An 18,903-nucleotide genomic window follows, 5' to 3' on the forward strand; every position below is an offset into this window, starting at 1 on the left:
ATCATCAGTGGGCAGCAGCAGGCAGCACTCTCTTCTGTTGGCAACCATTAATTGATAGACGTAGGTATGGCCTGTACTTATAAAGGACTGACAATTCCTTGGGTGTACTATGTGTTGTGTTTTTGATTACCGTAGTATTGAAGCAGGCACGCTGAATGGTTGGTGTCTTCCCGAGGATCTCAAGGCAAAGTCGGCTCCAAGACAGAGCAGCACCAGCTTAAGAATCACAGGGATCTCTTTTCTAAAGTAGCTATTTAATGACTTTTATGTGTATAGGAAATGCACCATGATCCTCTTTCTCCAAACCGAGAGAATAAAATCACTTCCCTCAAAATGAGCAGAGTAAAAGCTAACACTCCAAGATGAACATAAAAACATATTAAAAACCTCATCCAAAACATTGGCTCAAGTATACTTCAAAATACCAGCATGTCTGATTAAGTTCAGTATAAAGGGCTTGATACAAGCCTCATAGGTATAATAAATAGGCTACATAAAATATTAGCACTTATTGTCCTCAAACTATACATCAACAGAGGGAAAAAAAGCCCTAAAATTTAACTCTCTGCAAGTTTGGAAAACATGAGACGTAAAGAAGAAAGGCTTTGCATATATTAAATCACTTTGCTCCCAAAGGAATAATAAAAATCTTCAAAGTGTGTACAATTTTTGGGTGCATGCATTTTAGGTTAAGAGAAATATCATACAATGAAACTGCTATACTTTTAAACATACATTGACAATGAGTTATTTTTCTAAAAAAGTAAAAAGTCATCTCTTTGCATTCATATCCCTTCTACTTACCATACTGAAGGGCTTTTAGTGGAAACCAAAACAGAATAACTGAGTGGAAGAGGCCATTTAAACAATGAACCCAGAAAACCTGAGGGAAAACAAAAATCCATGAGAACCATTTGCGATAAACTAGCTCTGTGAACTCTGACCTTTCTTTTTATCTATGAGCTAGATTCACAAAATGTGTTTCTGTCGGGCCACCACTGTGAATTAATAGAACTGACAGACACTTTCTGCCTCTTAGACTTTCATGGGTCATTTATTTATTTTTATGTTTCTCAAAATGTTTTTTCAGCTTCACTTGAATTTTTTTTTCTGCTTCTCAAAAACCAAATTTAAATTTCTGCCTGAAAAAGAAAATAAAATTTAAAATAAAAAAATGCAGAATTCTGAAATTCCTTAAGTGGGACTATTTTCATAATTCCAGAAGAATAGACTTTTAAAAGATTATAATTTGGGGAAATCCCTTTATATTCCCCACATATAACTGTAAGCTTTCCAATGCTAAAGATGTAATGCTTTCTCTTATCAAGAGATATAAAGATACTCTATACTATTCTCTGCAGGGTATCAAGATATATACTCGTTATAGCCAGTATTATATAATCATACAAATAAAGCACTGTGACTATGACTTTACTAAAGGCTTTCACAATTTAACAGTGTTAATACCAAGTTTTGTATAATTATAACATCATATAATAGTTACTACTTTTTATATCTATTGTATTTTAAGAACAAGAGAGCAAGCGTCACTGGTACTTTCTTTGTAACATGGATGTGAAAGATTAAGTTATAGAAAAACTGTTTAGAATTCTTATGGCCCCTCTGAACAGTTGTAGTTTTGTCATTTAAAAGTGCTTCTTGCAAACAAAACTTATGCTAAATAAAACTGGCATGTATTAATAGTTTTAAGCTGTTCAAACAACAGAAATTAAGTTGCCTGCCTCCCAAAATTTTCCACTGTGAGCTCAATCTCTTTTGTTAGTTCTCCCAGCCACACTGGATTGTATGATCCAATTTACGCTCCAATACATTACACATTTGAACTTGTGTTACTCATTAACCTTTGTCTCTTCTCCTCACTGTGTCATTACCACAAGTTTTTATTTGACAGAAAGCACAGGTGGGTGCAAGAAAAATTAGTTCTACTTTTCCATTTTCCTGACTGATACTTATTGTCACATGCTAATCCTTTAACCCCTGTCACGACCTCAGAACCTCCGACCCTTTTTACCATAACAAACATAAGCATCATCATTCAGGGCAACAATGCTCCCGCACTTGGAACCCCCAGCAACTGCTGTGTATACAACTGTGCATTTTGTAGCCATTTGTCCCTGAATTTTCAAACACTTATATGAGATTGAATCAAATACTTTTCACTGAAATCACTAGAAAAATCCATAAACCCTGTAAAACAGGGTTGGCAACTCGTGTATAAAAACTATAAACACTCAAATGGGTATAGAAATTGTATAACCCATTTGGGTTGATCTGATGACTTGTCTGAACTCCTGGGCTCTACAGATAATGAAAAGACTTTTTTCAACAATAAAAGATACGAGGAATGATGCTCCCACATTAAAACAATATACTACCCGCTATACCCTTTTCCTGGCCACAAAAATGTGTCCAAGTTGCCATGTACAGAAGAATGTGCCTTTGCAGGAATGATTTGGGGTAATTCTGTGAGGATCAATTTATGTTTTTAAGCAAGAATGGCATGGCCAAATTTGTGGTTAGAGGCTAAATTCAGAGACAGTACCATGGAGCCCACACTATGGTAGACGAGGCCTGTGGCTGAGGTTGGTTGGTGAGAATTATTGTTAGTATACCAACCAGTAGACCTGGAACTTCCCCAGCTCTCAGATCACTTTTTCAGGGGAACCAGAGGCCATAGTCTGATTGTGGCTTGCCATCATTTGTGAATGCTCACCATAGGTAATGAAAAACATTACAGCAATGTGATGAAATTTAATACAAACTGGGCATCACAAATAAATTTAAAAATCTAGAAGTAAAAGATTTAAAAATGAAAGCAGAGATAACTGCACATTAATAGTATTAGTTTTAAGAGAGTCCACTAAAAATACTTTTCAGAACCAATGGCATAAGTTAAAGAATCCTTCAGTCTGTCTGTCCTGAGCTAACCAAATTCATTTATTTAAAACAGTGCCACCAAGTTGTATGCATGTGTACAGCTGGATACATAGGCACGCTGTGTTCGTGAAGATCACGTCTCAGAAGAATAATGTCTTGCCCATAAACCTAGCACTATCGTTTATGCTGTGAGGTTAGAGGCACCAAAACACCTGTTTCACTTTATTCTCTTGGCATATGGAAAATGCCATTGAAAAGCTTTATGAATTCCTAAATATTTAAAATATCCTACATTAACTGTCCTGAATTCAAGATTCTGAGTTAAGGTTACATCTAATTATCAGTAACATGCTAATAAACATGCACTATATTAAACAAAAACAATTCTGTGAAAGTGTATTTTATTTGTTGCTTTCATAACACTAATATACAAATGTTAGTTTCAAAATGACACCTAACTTGATTGTTGTAATATTAAATTTTTTCCTCCTCACTCACATTAAACAAGAAATTGAATTATTAACAAATACCAATGGAAACACTTTAGAATATATACTTGCAGGAAAGTAAACTATATAGAAAATGAGGTGTGTGTGTGTGTGTGTCTGGGATAAATACTATTGGATCACACCCAGAATGTGATTTTAGATAAACTGTTGGATATTTTATCTTGTATTTTTAATTTTAGAGCTTGGAAATACTGAGTACTATTTCCCAGAGACTGTAATTTTAATGCCTGACACAATCAATCTAAAATTCTAATGAGGACAAAGTTATTTCACAAAATGGAAAATCAGTTAAGGAACAATAAAATACCTCTCTCACTCCTTTACACACATAAAGCCAGTCCTTACCAGTCCTAGATGACTAACCCCTGTGAGGAGTGAGCATGTCACCACAACACTGCAAAGACAGAAGGCCAGAGAACCAAAAGGACAATGATTTTTATACGTCAGGCCAGCTTTATTGCTGCCTTACAAACCCAAGTGAATTTGGTTACATTTTAATAATAAAACACACAAAAAACCCCAAACTCAACCAACCAACAAAAAACCTTCTCTGCCTGTATCAGAACCTTAAGAAATATGACTTGCCATAGTCGGTACCCTGGAGTTGTCTCAGGCTAGTGTATCCTTGGCCTTTGAAAACCACATACCCCATATAATGAGGGCAGTAAACACAGACCCACCAAACATGTCCCAGCCAGGGCACTGTGTCCTACCTTGGTGTTGAAGTCCAGGGCATTCTGAGATGTTTTGTATAATTCAGGGTACTTCAACATGTTCTCTTTTCTGCATGATCTCTCAAATATTCCAAGAGTTAAAGGAGGCATTGCTGTAAACATCTAAAGCGCACAAACTGGTCATTATGTCAAGCAGCCAAATGCAGGGTGAACCTTTATCTCCCAAGTATTCAATGAAACAGGAATTATCAAATGTCCTAAACTTACCACGTTATAGAGACCTATACACCATCTTTCAAAGAGGATCTGTCCAGAAAAGCCATTAACAAAGGCAAACCAGATCTAGGAAAAAAAACCCAAAACCCCCAAATTAGAATACAAAAGCATAAATGCATTGCTTAGAATCTGTTGTATACTCAACTGCTGCATAATAGCAGCATTAACATATTATACTCATGACTCTTTTGAAAATGACATTTCTTTGGTTTACTTTCTGATTGAAAGAGATGCTTTCATAGGGTATTTGTTATTTATGTCAGAATTGGTCCTGCTTGCTGAATCAAAAAAGAAATATATGAACAGGCAATCACGATTTAAAAATGATAAATAATCTTGTTTTTCTTAACGGTACTTTCAGAGAATATATTTATATGCCATTAAATTTTTACAGCTTCAATTCCCTTTTAAAATATCAGGATTGTAGTTATTTAAAGATTGTTTTTTAAAATTATAAAAGTAACACTTGTTTATTTAGGAAATAGTTTCCTGCAATAGTACAATCACCATTTTTGTCTGCACTGGTTGTATAGTTCATTCAAATTCACAAATTTACCTTACTGGAAACCTGCATATAGAGAGTGTCATACTCTGCTCCACCCCCTTAATATTATGTAATATGCATTTTCTTAAGTTGTCACATATCCTTTAAAATGATGTTAATGGATATGTAACCTCTACAATGTGGATGTAACTATTTTGGACATTTAGCTGGCTTCCAGTTGTTTGCTATTATAAATAACTCTAAACTGAAACCATATATCTCTCTTTTTTCCTTAGGGTGAATTCTTAAGGTGGAATAGGTCAAAGTACATGAGTCTTCTTAATAGTTCTTGATAACCACTGCCAATGGAATCTTAAATTTGAGTTTATATATTAAAATATTTTAACTTAAATTTTATTCATTGATAAAATCCCATCTTGACTAGAGCATAATGTTCTTATATATTTTACAATTCTCTTTAAAACAGAAATCTTAACTTTGGAAACAAAATTAAGGGACAATATGGACAAATTTTTCTCTAGCATGTTTAAAACATAAGAAAAATTAAAGTGACAATTAGTAAACAATAGTACCTACGTTATTGTTTTTAAAAAGCAGACCTGAAGTATAATTAAAAATCAAATATCAAATGGATCTGGGAGAGTACAAAGGCTGGTCCAGCAATGAGATTACATAAGCACAAATACAAAAACAAAACCTAACAACACCGACAACTACAAAACTGTTAGAGGAGAGCGGTCTTGACATGCGGCTCAACTGAATTTTTGAATCAGAGTTGCAGGGAATTTGCTACACTTCACGTTTCATTTAACCTCATTATGGAAGCATGAATTACTACAAATTCACCATTTATCAATATATACCCAGGCTGGCCTCCCTATGAACAGGTTCTGTAGCCACACTGATCTTCCTTTTTACAGTGGAAAGGAATGATTGAGCATGTATAAAAACTAATGTCTGCTTTATGAGATGGAAAAGAAAACAAAGTAGCAATAGCACATTAAAAATAAGTCCAAATTGTGTTAGAGCTGTAACACATATTAACCACAACAAAAGCAGAGAAATCAGAGTCAAATCTGAAATTCTTACTTGCTTTGCTACACATATTTATGGAAAATTTTTGATAATTTGCCCTAAACAAACAGCCAGATCATTGATGCATGCAAACTTTAAAAGAACTGAGCATCTTCACATGAAGTGAAGTTTATTCTTTCCTGGTGAGTATACACAAATTGACAAAACAGACATTAATGCTCTCTATTGTGTTTTCACATTTGGCCTGAGATGTGGATTATGTAAATACATATTTGGGATACTCAGAGTGATGGGGCTATTTTCCATGAAGGCAACTGTGATCTATTGTAGTAATTCATTCTAAAAAGCTCTTTCAGATTTCTTAAGGTATGATGGAAATATAAGGAATTTCAAAACAAACTTCCAATTATGGCCTCTCTAATCTATGAAGACACAGTCTAACCTTTGTTGGTCTGAAGAAAGCCGAAGCGCTCTGCATACCAAATTCGTCTAACGGACAAGATTTGGCTCAAAAGTTGTAGTTCTAAATGCATTTGCAATCATCAATACCGTACAATGAGAAGTTTATGTTAGTAAGTTTATATGTGGGCAAACATTAGTAAATACGAATGGTCCCCTAGCTTCTGTGTACCTAATATTTGGTGCTGATTCAAAGGCTACTACGAGCTTGAAATTTAAGATTCTCCCTCAAATCAATATTTACAGTAAGTTTCAAATTTGAAATAATTTGCAAGTAAACTAACATGTTTGTTTCCAAAGTGTATTTTAAAATGCATGACCTGCTTTATACTTTACGACAATTTTTAAGTGGAAAGGTATCAACACATTTTTATCATTTTATTTTTCCTACTGAAAGGTAGGTGAACATGTTTTTAGAAAATGTATTTCCTGGATTTTTAAGGGTTAACATTTTAATTTATTTTTAAAGAAGAAATGACTAGGTAAGAACAGAAACTTTCAATAGAGTACCTTAGATTTTCACTCTAATATTTTAATATTCAAGTTTACATATCTTAAAGGAGAAAGAGAAGGTCTTTAACAGTGAAGTAGCCTACCAGCAGGCCGATTTCAAGTTAGGCTGAGATTGTAGTTAATATTGGGAACATATCCCGTGCAAAATAAAACAACATCTAAATTATCCCAAACACATAAAAGTACCTCCTCTAATTCAACCAGAGCCACAGATTCAGAAAGAAAACACCGGTCCCTCTGGGGAGGTGTCTAGTTTATTTAAATTCACAGGGAATTCAACTCCCAGCACCACTTGCTGGGACAGTATCACCTTATTGACTTTTATCAAAGCTTCTGGAAATTAGAAACACAACTTGGTTTTGAGATCTTCCCAGAAAACTTGGATGTGACCAATCATTTGAAAGGAAAGGTCTTATTTTATGAGGAAGGAGTCAGACATATCAGAGAAATAAAAAAAAATCTCTCTTTAAAAGGAGCCAATAATTTAAATGAACACCTAGAGCTGCTCCTGGGCAGCTCCTGTAAGAAAGAGCTTTATACCACCATCTGCCAAATCTGTATTCGTCTGGCTGTAATTTACAGCAATGGAATATCTAGATAGTGACTTTCCTAAGCAATATAGCAAGGAGAAAAGCAGTGTTTGTAGTTTTAAATCTATAAAACACATAGTGTTCAAGACTATTCCTTTATTAGCATAGAAATTTCAGACCTGCTTCTCCTGGCATTATTTTCTAAATTCCACCTCCCAGTAGAGGCGTGGCAGCTAAAGCTTCACATTCATTTTCCTGATGGAGCATTTCTGCATATTAAACAGCAGCTTACAAACAGTCAATGAGTCCTCTGCTCCCACGCCTGATCAGCACAAAAAACTGAAAGGAGAGATTCGAGACTGGCAGTTGTCCTCACTAGAGACATTCAATGATGTGTTTTCTGTCTATTCATTCACAGTATTGACATGAGCCATTAACATCTGCAGAACTTGTTTTAGCTGGCAAAAGTTGGGTATCTGGGAATTGATTTAAAAGGTCATTACCAAGACAGTTGAATCATATTCAAAATACATTTCCACAAACTCTTGAGAAAAATAAAAATGAGATTTCCAGTAAAGTTTAGAACTCACTTCCTTTTCACTGTGTAAAGAATTTGATCAGTGTCAAATATCTCATGAACAGGTTTTAAAATCAAAGGCAAGTGAAGTTTAGGGTTAATCAACCACAAATCACATAATTCTGGGTTTGAAACAGGACAGGGCATGAAGATTGTTTTCATTTGATTTTAATGTTTTTATTTTCTCATTAGTACATAAATTTTGTCTACTTTATTGCTGTCAATTTAGATTTAAAAAGCGACAAGTTGGACATTCTTATTTTATAAAATTAACTTTTTATAAGCAGATTTATTGCTGGCAGTGGCTTTAAATTCCTGGTATCTTGATAAATCTATGTAAATAAACTGTATAAATTGTTATTTGCTTGAATGTCAGTGTTCTGGAATGAGAAGAACATATAAATAGAAAAGCTAGATATATAGAAGGGATTGAGAATAGAAAAATAATTACTTTAGAAAAGAACTACACATTTATATAAACAACAAAGAATATTTTTTTGAATCTTATAAACTATTTTAGAAGTGCATTTTGCTTCAAAACACACACTATTCCAGACCAAATCTAGCAGTAATGAACGAGTAAGTTCATTTACGTATCTTGTTTATATTTCCACATATTAGGTTATTTTTTTAATTTTTATTTATTTATTTTTTTGAGACAGAGTCTCGCTCTGTCACCCAGGCTGGAGTGCAATGGCGCGTGGTCTCTGCTCACTGCAAGCTCCACCTCCCGGGTTCACGCCATTCTCCTGCCTCAGCCTCCCAAGTAGCTGGGACTACAGGCGCCTGCCACCACGCCTGGCTAATTTTTTGTATTTTTAGTAGAGACAGAGTTTCACCATGTTAGCCAGGATGGTCTCGATCTCCTGTCCTCGTGATCCACCCCCCTCGGCCTCCCAAAGTGCTAGGATTACAGGCGTGAGCCACTGCGCCTGGCCTGTATTAGGTTATTTTATCTAATAGGTTGTAACCTTTTTAGTGACCATTACACCAAACTGCCTGTACACTTCAAAACTAAGTTTCAATTTTACTAGCCTGACTCATAATAAGAACTATGCTCAGTCAACATTTAACAAGGAGATAAGCATTCTGACAGAGGCACAAAGAACAGGTGAAGCAAATATACACCAGCCCCCAACGAAAGTGTCAACGTACTGACTTTGTTTATACTGTTACTTCTCAGAGTAAAGGATAGAATATGATTTCCATATAGCAAATGGATGGATCTTTTTTTTTTTTTTTTTTTTTTTTCTGAGATGGAGTCTTGCTTTGTTGCCCAGGCTGGAGTGCAGTGGCACAGTCTTGGCTCACTGCAACCTCTGCCTCCCTGGTTCAAATGAGTCTCCTGCCTCAGCCTCCTAAGTAGCTGGGATTACAGGCAACTGCCACCATGCCCAGCTAATTTTTTGTATTTTTAGTAGGGACGGGGTTTCACCATGTTGGCCAGGTTGGTCTCGAACTCCCGACCTTGTGATCTGCCCGCCTCAGCCTCCCAAAGTGCTGGGATTACAGGCGTGAGCCAACGCACCCAGCCTGGCTGTATCTTTTTTGACAGACGTGTAGAAACAGTCAACAGATTAAATGGTAAAGTGGCAGAAACAAACATCTATCTGTAAGGGAACCCTCAGCAGATTTATGAGACCATGGTGGGTCCTTGACAGGAGTGGGAGAATGAGGTTTTCTTAACAATGGGAAGGCCATTGTCATGATCTGCAGAGCTCCAACAGGGACATGAAACTGATAACACCTAGAATTACTACACATATAGCTTCTGACAATAAGAAGGCAACTTTTTAAAAAAAGGCAAATAACATATTTATCATGCCTTGATTAACCATTCAGTTCACTTATTTATCTACCACTGCTGTGCTGCCCAGCATGGTAGAGACTGGCCACACGTGCTCTTGAACACTTAAATGTGATTAGTCCAAATTGAGACGTGGTATAAATGTAAAATATACTCCAGATTTTGAAAACTTAGGATGAAGGATGTAAAATGTCTCATTAATAATTTTTGACAGTGATTACAGGTGACAATGATAATCTTTTGAATACATTGAGCTAGATAAAATATACTGAGATCAATTTTTTCTTTCTTTTTTTTTTTTTTGCTTTTTGCTAATGTGGCTTGCATTGTATTTCTGTTGGCAAGTGATATGGTTTGGCTGTGTCCCCAGCCAAATCTCATCTTGAATTCCCATGTGTTGTGGGAGGGACTGGTGGGAGGTAATTGAGTCATGGGGCCAAGTCTTTCCAATGCTGTTCTTGTGATAGTGAATAAGTCTCAAGAGATTTGATGGTTTTGAAAAGGGGAGTTCCCCTGCACAAGTTCTCTTGCTTTGCCTGCTGCCACCCATGTAAGACGTGACTTGTTCCTCCTTGCCTTCCATCATGATTGTGAGGCATCCCCAGCCATGTGGAACTGTAAGTCCATTAAACCTCTTTCTTTTGTAAATTGCCCAGTTTTGGGTATGTCTTCATCAGCAGCGTGAGAACAGACTAATACAATAAATTGGTACCAGTAGAGTGGGGTGCTGCTGAAAAGATACCCAAAAACATGGAGGTGACTTTGGAACTGGGTAACAGGCAGAGGTTGGAAGAGTTTGGAGAGCTCATAAAAAGACAAGAAAACGTGCGAAAGTTTGGAACTCCCTAGAGACTTGTTGAATGGCTTTGACCAAAATGCTGATAATGCTATGGACAATAAGATCCAGGCTGAGGTGGTTTCAGATGGAGATGAAGAACTTGCTGGTAACTGGAGCAAAGGCGACTCTTGGTATGTTTTAGCAAAGAGACTGGCAGCATTTTGCCCCTTCCCTAGAGATCTGTGGAACTTTGAACTTGAGAGAGATGATTTAGAGTATCTGGTGGAAGAAGTTTCTAAGCAGCAAAGCATTCAAGAGGTGACTTGGGTGCTGTTAAAGGCATTCAGTTTTGTAAGGGAAGCAGAGCATAAAAGTTCAAAAAATTTGCAGCCTGACAATGCAATAGAAAAGAAAAATCTCATTTTCTGAGGAGAAATGGAAGCAGGCTGCAGAAATTCGCCTAAGTAATGAGAAGCCAAATGTTAATCCTCAAGACAACGGGGAAAATGTCTCCAGGGTATGTCAGAGTTTTCATGGCAGCCCCTTCCATCACAGGCCCAGAGGCCTACAAGGAAAAAGTGGTTTTCTGGGCCAGGCCCAGGGTACACTCGTGCTGTGTGCAGCCAAGAGACTTGGTGCTCTGCATCCCAGTTGCTCCAGACATGGCTGAAAGGGGCCAACATAGAGTTCGGGCAGTGGCTTCACAGGGTGCAAGCCCCAAGCCTTGGCAGCTTCCATGTGGTGTTGAGCCTGAGAGTGCACAAAAGTCAAGAACTGGGGTTTGGGAACCTCTGCCTAGATTTCTGAAGATGTATGGAAATGCCTGGATGCCCAGGCATAAGTTTGCTGCAGGGGCAGGGCTCTCATGGCGAACCACTGTTAGGGCAGTGGAGAAGGAAAATGTGAGGTCAGAGCCCCCACACAGAGTTCCCCCTGGGGCACCACCTAGTGGAGCTGTGAGAAGAGGGCCACTGTCCTCCAGACCTCAGAATGGTAGATCCACTGACTGCATTGTGCACCTGATGCCAGCCTGTGAAGGCAGCTGGGAGGGAGGCTGTATCCTGTAAAGCCACGGGGCAGAGCGGCCCAAGACCATGGGACCCTACCTCTTGCATGCTTGACCTGGATGTGAGACGTGGAGTCAAAGGAGATCATTTTGGAGCTTTAAGGTTTTACTGCCCTGCTGGATTTCGGACTTGCCTGGGGCCTGTGGTCCCTTTATTTTGGCCAGTTTCTCTCACTTGGAGTAGCTGTATTTACCCATTGCTTGTACATCCATTGGATCTAGGAAGTAACTAACTTGCTTTTGATTTTACAGGCTCATAGGCGGAAGGGACTTGCCTTGTCTCAGATGAGACTTTGGACTGTGGACTTCTGAACTAATGCTGAAATGAGTTAAGACTTTAGGGTATTGTTGGGAAGGAATGATTGGTTTGGAAATGTGAAGACATGAGATTTGGAAGGGGCCAGGGGCAGAATGATATGGTTTGGCTCAAATCTCATCTTGAATTCCCATGTGTTGTGGGAGGGACCCAGTGGGAGGTAATTGAATCATGGGGGCAAGTCTTTCCTGTGATGTTCTCGTGATAGTGAATAACCATCTTGAGGTCTGATGGTTTTATAAAGAGGAGTTCCCCTGCACAAGCTCTCTTTGCCCACTGCCATCCATGTAAGATGCGACTCGCTCCTCCTTGCCTTCCTCCATGATTGTGAGGCCTCCCCAGCCATGTGGAACTGTAAGTCCATTAAACCTCTTCCTTTTGTAAATTGCCCAGCCTTGGGTATGTCTTTATCCACAGTGTGAGAACAGTAATACAGCAAGTTCCTGGAGGACAGGAACCATGCTTGATTTACTTTGTAGTTGTTGGACTAAGCCTGGTGTCTGGGCTCAGTAGGTGCTACAAAATTGTTTACAGAACAAAATGCATCCTTTTAAAAGTGGTATTCCTGACTCAGGTTTTCATTTTTAAAATGATGTTATGTTTGACACATAAAACGGATTATAGAAATCCCTTGCTATCCAGACAGAAACTAAATATTCTGATAATTTTTAGACAAATTTTTCATCATCTGAACTCTTGCTACTCACCAAACACGGAAACAAAAACAGATCTGGATAGAGAGGGATGCTTGTATGTAACAAAGATCTAAGTTTTGAAACATAATAGGAACAACAAGGCAACAATACCAGCAAAGCTACCTGCATATTCTTCCTGATTGCACTTCTTTGTCTCCTCCCAGAATTAGAGGTGCTAGCTTCAGTTGATGTTTCTCATTCCCTCACCTTTTTTAAAAAATAGCTTTTCTACATGTGTGTTATCCCTCCATGGTGTATTGCTTTCTTTTGCATGTTTTTGAGCTTTATTAAAAATGCAGTCAAGTTTATAGACTTTTATACATTATTAATAATGTATTTTTTACATTAAATACATTATTATCTCATTAGCATCTCTAATTCAACACTTCTTATCAAAGCAACATAACATTTTTAGCTAGAATTTAAACATAATTCTCCATGGCTGACAAACTTTTTTTTTTTTTTTTTTGGGGTGGAGTCTCACTCTGTTGCCCAGGCTGGAGGACAGTGGCACAATCTCAGCTCACCACAACCTCTGCCTCCTGGGTTCAAGTGATTCTCCTGCCTTAGCCTCCTAGTAGCTGGAATTACAGGTGCCTGCTACCACGCCTGGCTAATTTTTGTATTTTTAGTAGAGACGAGGTTTCACCATGTTGGCTAAGCTGGTCTCGAACTCCCGACCTCAAGTGATCCGCCTATCTCGGCCTCCCAGAGTGCTGGGATTACAGGCCACCTTTTTGTTTTAATACATTTAGAATTTATAAAGAGTTGGCAAATAAAATATTAATTAAAACCATGAGAAAACGTCTCCATAAAGAAAATTTCTTTAAATATGTATGCAAATGACAAGGATTTAAAATTTAACCTGCTATTACCTCGATAATATAGAGCACTATATTCTTGTAGAAGCAGTATAAGATGCACTTGGAGACTCTGTTATAGTTCCAGGCACCATGAATCATCAGTAAATTCTTCAAATATTTGAACTAAAACAAGAGTGGGAAAAAATTAGTATTTTCCTTTTCAAAGCATCAGTTGACTGAGAGGAATGATGTGTTTTGCAGAAATGACGCTTTACCTGAGCTATGGAGTAGTCAGAGGAATTAGCTGCCTGCAGGCCTTCATTGCCACTGATACCAACACCAACGTGCGCTGTCTGTATCATGCTGACATCATTTGCTCCATCACCGATTGCAAGCGTTACGACTTTGACTTGTTTCTTAACCATCTCAACAACTTCAGATTTTTGAAGAGGAGAAACCCTGAAATTGAAACACATTATCAATTACTGTTTTCTGAAAAAAGGAATTTTGAAATGCCATCGTGTTGAAGGATAAAAGATGCAAAAGACCTAAATGAATAGTTCTCTGAAGAAACCTTATGATAAAGTTTTAGGTTTGCAAATGTTTACTCATCTGTTAACCTGGTTACTGTATTAAGGAAAATTAAAATAAATAAAAACAAGCCTCAGAGGCAAACCCCTAGGTGACATCTAGAAGAGAGAATGCTTTGTTAAACATTAGCCTGCCAGAATGCCTTTACTTCCTAACAAACATCAGAATTTCTAATTCTTCACTTACAAATTAAAAACAATGTCATAAATGCTGCCAAACACTAACTAAATCCTACATAGTAGCTGGAAAGTAAAAGTTTTGAGCTTCTGCAATCTGATCTTAGATAATGTACTATACACTTAAAACTCTACTTAAATTAATTCTCAGACACCATGGAAAATGCCAAGTATCTGATTATAGTTCATGGGCTTCATTTTCTTCCAAAGCCACTAAGGGTCAAGTAAAAATCAAGCAACCTCTTATACAAATGTGGACCAGGAACAGAAAACACCAGTATCTCTATTAAAATCATATCTGGTATTAGATTTGGAGTTACTTTTCACAGACTTTCTAAAGCCATTTAAGAAATAAACACTAGGACTGGCCGGGTGAGGTGGCTCATGCCTGTAATCCCAGCACTTTGGGAGGCCAAGGCAGGTGGATCACGAGGTCAGGAGATTGAGACCATCCTGGCTAACACGGTGAAACCCCGTCTCTACTAAAAATACAAAAAATTAGCCGGGCGTGGTGGCGGGCGCCTGTAGTCCCAGCTACTTGGGAGGCTGAGGCAGGAGAATGGAGTGAACCCAGGAGGCGGAGCTTGCAGTGAGCCGAGATCGTGCCACTGCACTCCAGCCTGGGCGACAGAGCAAGACTCCGTCTCAAAAAAAAAAAAAAAAAAAAAAAAAAAGGAATAAACACTAGGACAAGGACAGAAGGGTTCAAAGACAGAATGCATAACACACTGTCTACACTGTATTGGAAACTATAGAGAAAGACAGGAAAACTACACAATAAATTGTTCTAACAAACAGTTAAGCTAATAATTAGATAGTAAGAAACAACTTATGTACACAATGTTCAAACAAGAAAAACATCTCAGAGCTAAATTATTTATCAAGGTTATGTGGCATAGATGACTAATAATAAATATCTGCTAAAACATCTGAAAAATCATTTACTATTCTATTTAAAAATGAAGATCACCACTTTGAGAGAATCGATACAACTTTGTCCATTTTCCTGATCATTCCATAGGAAAAATTTTTAGTGGTAGATACTCTGCACAAATATGTGCCTTCAGGAGGCCCCACTGCCCTTATGAACTGCTTCAGCCAGAGCAGCTCTGGTTTTTATTTCAAGTCTGAGAATCATTGCATTAGACTGTGAGCTGCCTGTAAAGTCAATTGGTCTCCTCTTCTTTGTATTTTTAGTGCCTGATCCAAAATAGATACTCAATACATGGTTGCTATACGAAAAAACCATTTTTAATTTTTTCTTTGGATTTCCTTTTACAGTCTGGCAATAGTACAAAATGACACAACTGTGAACTCAGCAAGGAAATGAATGCCTATCAGGCCATTAGCAGGCTATTTCACTGTTAGCTTGATTTTTCTTCAAAGCAATTTTCATTTCATTTTCACATTTTATTTAATTTTTCTTACCAGGCTAATATAAACTGGTAAGTCCACTGGCTGTAGGCCAATGTTTAAACCTGGACTATAGTTGACATTTAGTAAATGTCAAAAAGGAATGCTCACCAATAAATGATCTAGAATGGGAAATGGGCATGAATAGAGAGAAGCATTTGAAAGCTTTATCAAATTCTCTTTAATAGTCTAACAGTATGAATACATTATGAAGTTACACCAAGGGTTCAACAGAACTAGGAAACAGTGGTACTTTTTCCATAACTAAACTTGTAATAAAGGAGAAATCTCTGCAAGGTGAGCTGACATTAGTGATTTTTAAAAAGCATCAGAAAAGAGTTGGACTAAATTTAGTTTTCTTCATGGTGATCACAACCAACCACTGCTTTCTCTGCTTGATACTGTAATTTTCAACACCCAAATTAAAATTGGCTGAGGATTTTCATTCAATTCTGTATGGTTAAATGAGGTGTTAAAGAGTAGGATTGCCCTTAGCAACAATGCCCATTTAAGAAAAAAGAAAATGATATAGTGAGAGACATTTCAAAAGCACACTGCAGCTGCTACTAGCCAGAGCATCTGCTTCCATTACCAAGCTTTAAAAGTGGATGACTGGCTGGGCGTAGTGGCTCATGCCTGTAATTCCAGCACTTTGGGAGGCTGAGGTGAGCGGATCACGAGGTCAGGAGATCGAGACCAGCCTGGGCAACATGGTAAAATCCAATCTCAAATAAAAATACAAAAAATTAGCTAGGGATAGGGGCGCGTGCCTGTAGTCCCAGCTACTCGGGAAGCTGAGTCAGGAGAATCGCTTGAACCCAGGAAGTGGAGGTTGCAGTGAGCTGAGATGGCGCCACTGCACTCCAGCCTGGGTGACAGAGCGGGACTCCATCTCGGGAAAACAAAAGTGGATGACCCTCTTGGAATAAGATTGAAGACATAATGGATTTCCCTGACCATTAGTGATGTCAAGCATTTTTTCATATGTTTGTTGGCCATCTGTATATCTTGAGAATTGTTTATTCATGTCCTTAGCCCATTTTTTGATGGGATTGTTTTTTCTCTTGCTAATTTGTTTGAGTTCCTTGTAGACTCTGGATATTTGTTCTTTGTTGGATATACAGATTGTGAAGATTTTCTTCCACTCTGTGGGTTGTCTGTTTACTCTGCTGACTGATCCTTTTGCTGTGCAGAAGCTCTTTAGAAATGCAAATCAAAACCACAATGCGATACCACCTTACTCCTGCAAGAATGGCCATAATAAAAAAATCAAAAAAGAATAGATGTTGGTGTGGATACGGTGATCAGGGAACACTTCTACACCGCTGGTGGGAATGTAAACTAGTATAATCACTATGGAAAACAGTGTGGAGATTCCTTAAAGAACTAAAAGTAGAACTACCATTTGATCCAGCAATCCCACTATGGGGTATCTACCCAGAGGAAAATAAGTCATTATACAAAAAAGCTACTGGGACATGCATGTTTATAGCAGCACAATTTGCAATTGCAAAAATATGGGACCAGCCCAAATGCCCATCAATCAACAAGCGGATAAAGAAACTGTGGTATGTGTGTATATATATGTATGTGTGTGTATATATTTTATATATACATATTTTATATATTTTATACACACACACACACACACACACAGACACACACATACACATATATGAATGAGATGGAATACTACTCAACCATAAAAGGAATGAATGAATGGCATTCATAGCAACCTGGATGGAACTGAAGACTATTATTGTAAGTGAAGTAACTCAGGAATGGACAAACATTGTATGTTCTTACTCATATGTGGGAGTTAAGCTGTGAGGATGAAGAGGCATAAGAATGATACAATGGACTTTGGGGACTCAGGGGAAAGGGTGGGAGGGGGACTACAAATTGGGTACAGTGTATACTGCTCGGGTGATGGGTACACAAAATCTCACAAATCACCATTGAAGAACTTATTCATGTAACCAAATACTACCTGTTCCCTCAAAACCTATGGAAATAAAAAATTAAAACAAAAGACATAATGGAAGCCTTTTCTTATGATTCTGAAACATCAGTTGGTTGCTAAACAAAGATGTCAGATTTAAGTGGAGATTCATACAAAATAAAATATACATTCTTAAAATATTTAACTCAAAATATAAATGTACAAACTGTGATGCAGGTCAAAGAACCTTACTTTGCATAGGGGTCTGCTGTTTGAAACTGCATGTTTTTGTAGCAGAAATCTCACTCAGGCATAGTCAATGGTTTGCCTCACTAAAATGGAGACCAGAATGTACTGATTCCTTTTACCCCAGTTTATAGTTAGTTTACTCCAAAATTTGACAGCAATATTTTTTAGCAACTCAAAAAGTCTTTTAGAGCATTATACCTGGATTTACTAGCAATAATTTTTACTCAGTTATTTGAATGAAGTTATGAGATATTTAATTAAATGATTATTTCAAGAAGTACAACAGGAATAAACATACTAGGGAACGAGCCCCACTTACAATGCACCAAGTCAATTCATGGAAGCCGAAGAGCATGTACACACCCAAGAGCCTCTGGGTGTGAGCATAGTGTGCTGTGAGTACCTGGCAGAAGGCTGTAGGGAAGGAATGTGGCTGAAAGGGATTCAGGTTTGTCAAGCTGAAGTCAGTAAAAAAGATCCACTATTTTTATAGCATCCATTTAAAAAATGGTTCCTTGCTACAAGGGGGTTACAATATAGCAAAACAAAATTATAAGACATTAAAAATGAATGTAGCATAAAGCTTTGATATGATTGCCCCTCTTTGATAATTTCAGAAATCAACATGGGCTTTAAGAGGCCTCCCTTGATAAGTTAGAATTTGACTTGGCCTTTGAAAGGAGAGGAGAGTTCACTTCAGGTAACAGAAATAGCACATAATAAATTTTAACTTCACACTCAAAATTCTCCAGAATATATTATTTTCTACTGCTGTGTCTCCACCTGTTAAAAGATTACTCTACTCAGAGTTTATTTACTTTCTTGATTGTCAGTACACTTGCTTCTAGATTCATACAATTTCCATGAGTCTAGAACTACCTTACCACACAACAACTTAATTCTTCCTATGTCTATAAAAAAAATCACATATCCATGGCTGAGAATATCTAAAACCTAAACAAATGCCAATAGTGACTCAACGTATAATTCTGAAACATCATAAAGGCACTGTTTTCTTCCCTGAGATTGTTTTATTTTAACCATTTGTGGGTCTGCATCCAGGATTTAAATTATTCACAGTTATCTTCTGT

At 37.5% G+C, this 18,903-nt stretch overlaps 1 protein-coding gene across 12 annotated transcripts in view; it reads right to left on the minus strand.

Annotated features, from left to right (window-relative positions):
* The window catches only part of ATP8A1 (ATPase phospholipid transporting 8A1), a 248,733-nt gene that overhangs the window by 42,804 nt on the left and 187,026 nt on the right, over positions 1–18,903 (minus strand). For 10 of the 12 annotated variants that reach the window (NM_001400027.1, NM_001400026.1, XM_047449508.1 and 7 more), the window contains 5 exons: positions 13,717–13,900; positions 13,514–13,624; positions 4,349–4,423; positions 4,121–4,243; positions 805–883 (listed from right to left, as the gene is read on the minus strand). In NM_001400027.1, coding sequence (NP_001386956.1) covers positions 805–883; positions 4,121–4,243; positions 4,349–4,423; positions 13,514–13,624; positions 13,717–13,900 — 572 coding nt within the window. Of the gene's footprint in view, positions 1–804; positions 884–4,120; positions 4,258–4,348; positions 4,424–13,513; positions 13,625–13,716; positions 13,901–18,903 lie in introns of those variants that run through there. The other 2 variants (XM_047449510.1, XM_047449511.1) reach the window with 2 other exon arrangements.

This window comes from Homo sapiens, chromosome 4, assembly GCF_000001405.40.
Source record: "Homo sapiens chromosome 4, GRCh38.p14 Primary Assembly".
Taxonomy (NCBI): Eukaryota; Metazoa; Chordata; class Mammalia; order Primates; family Hominidae; genus Homo; species Homo sapiens.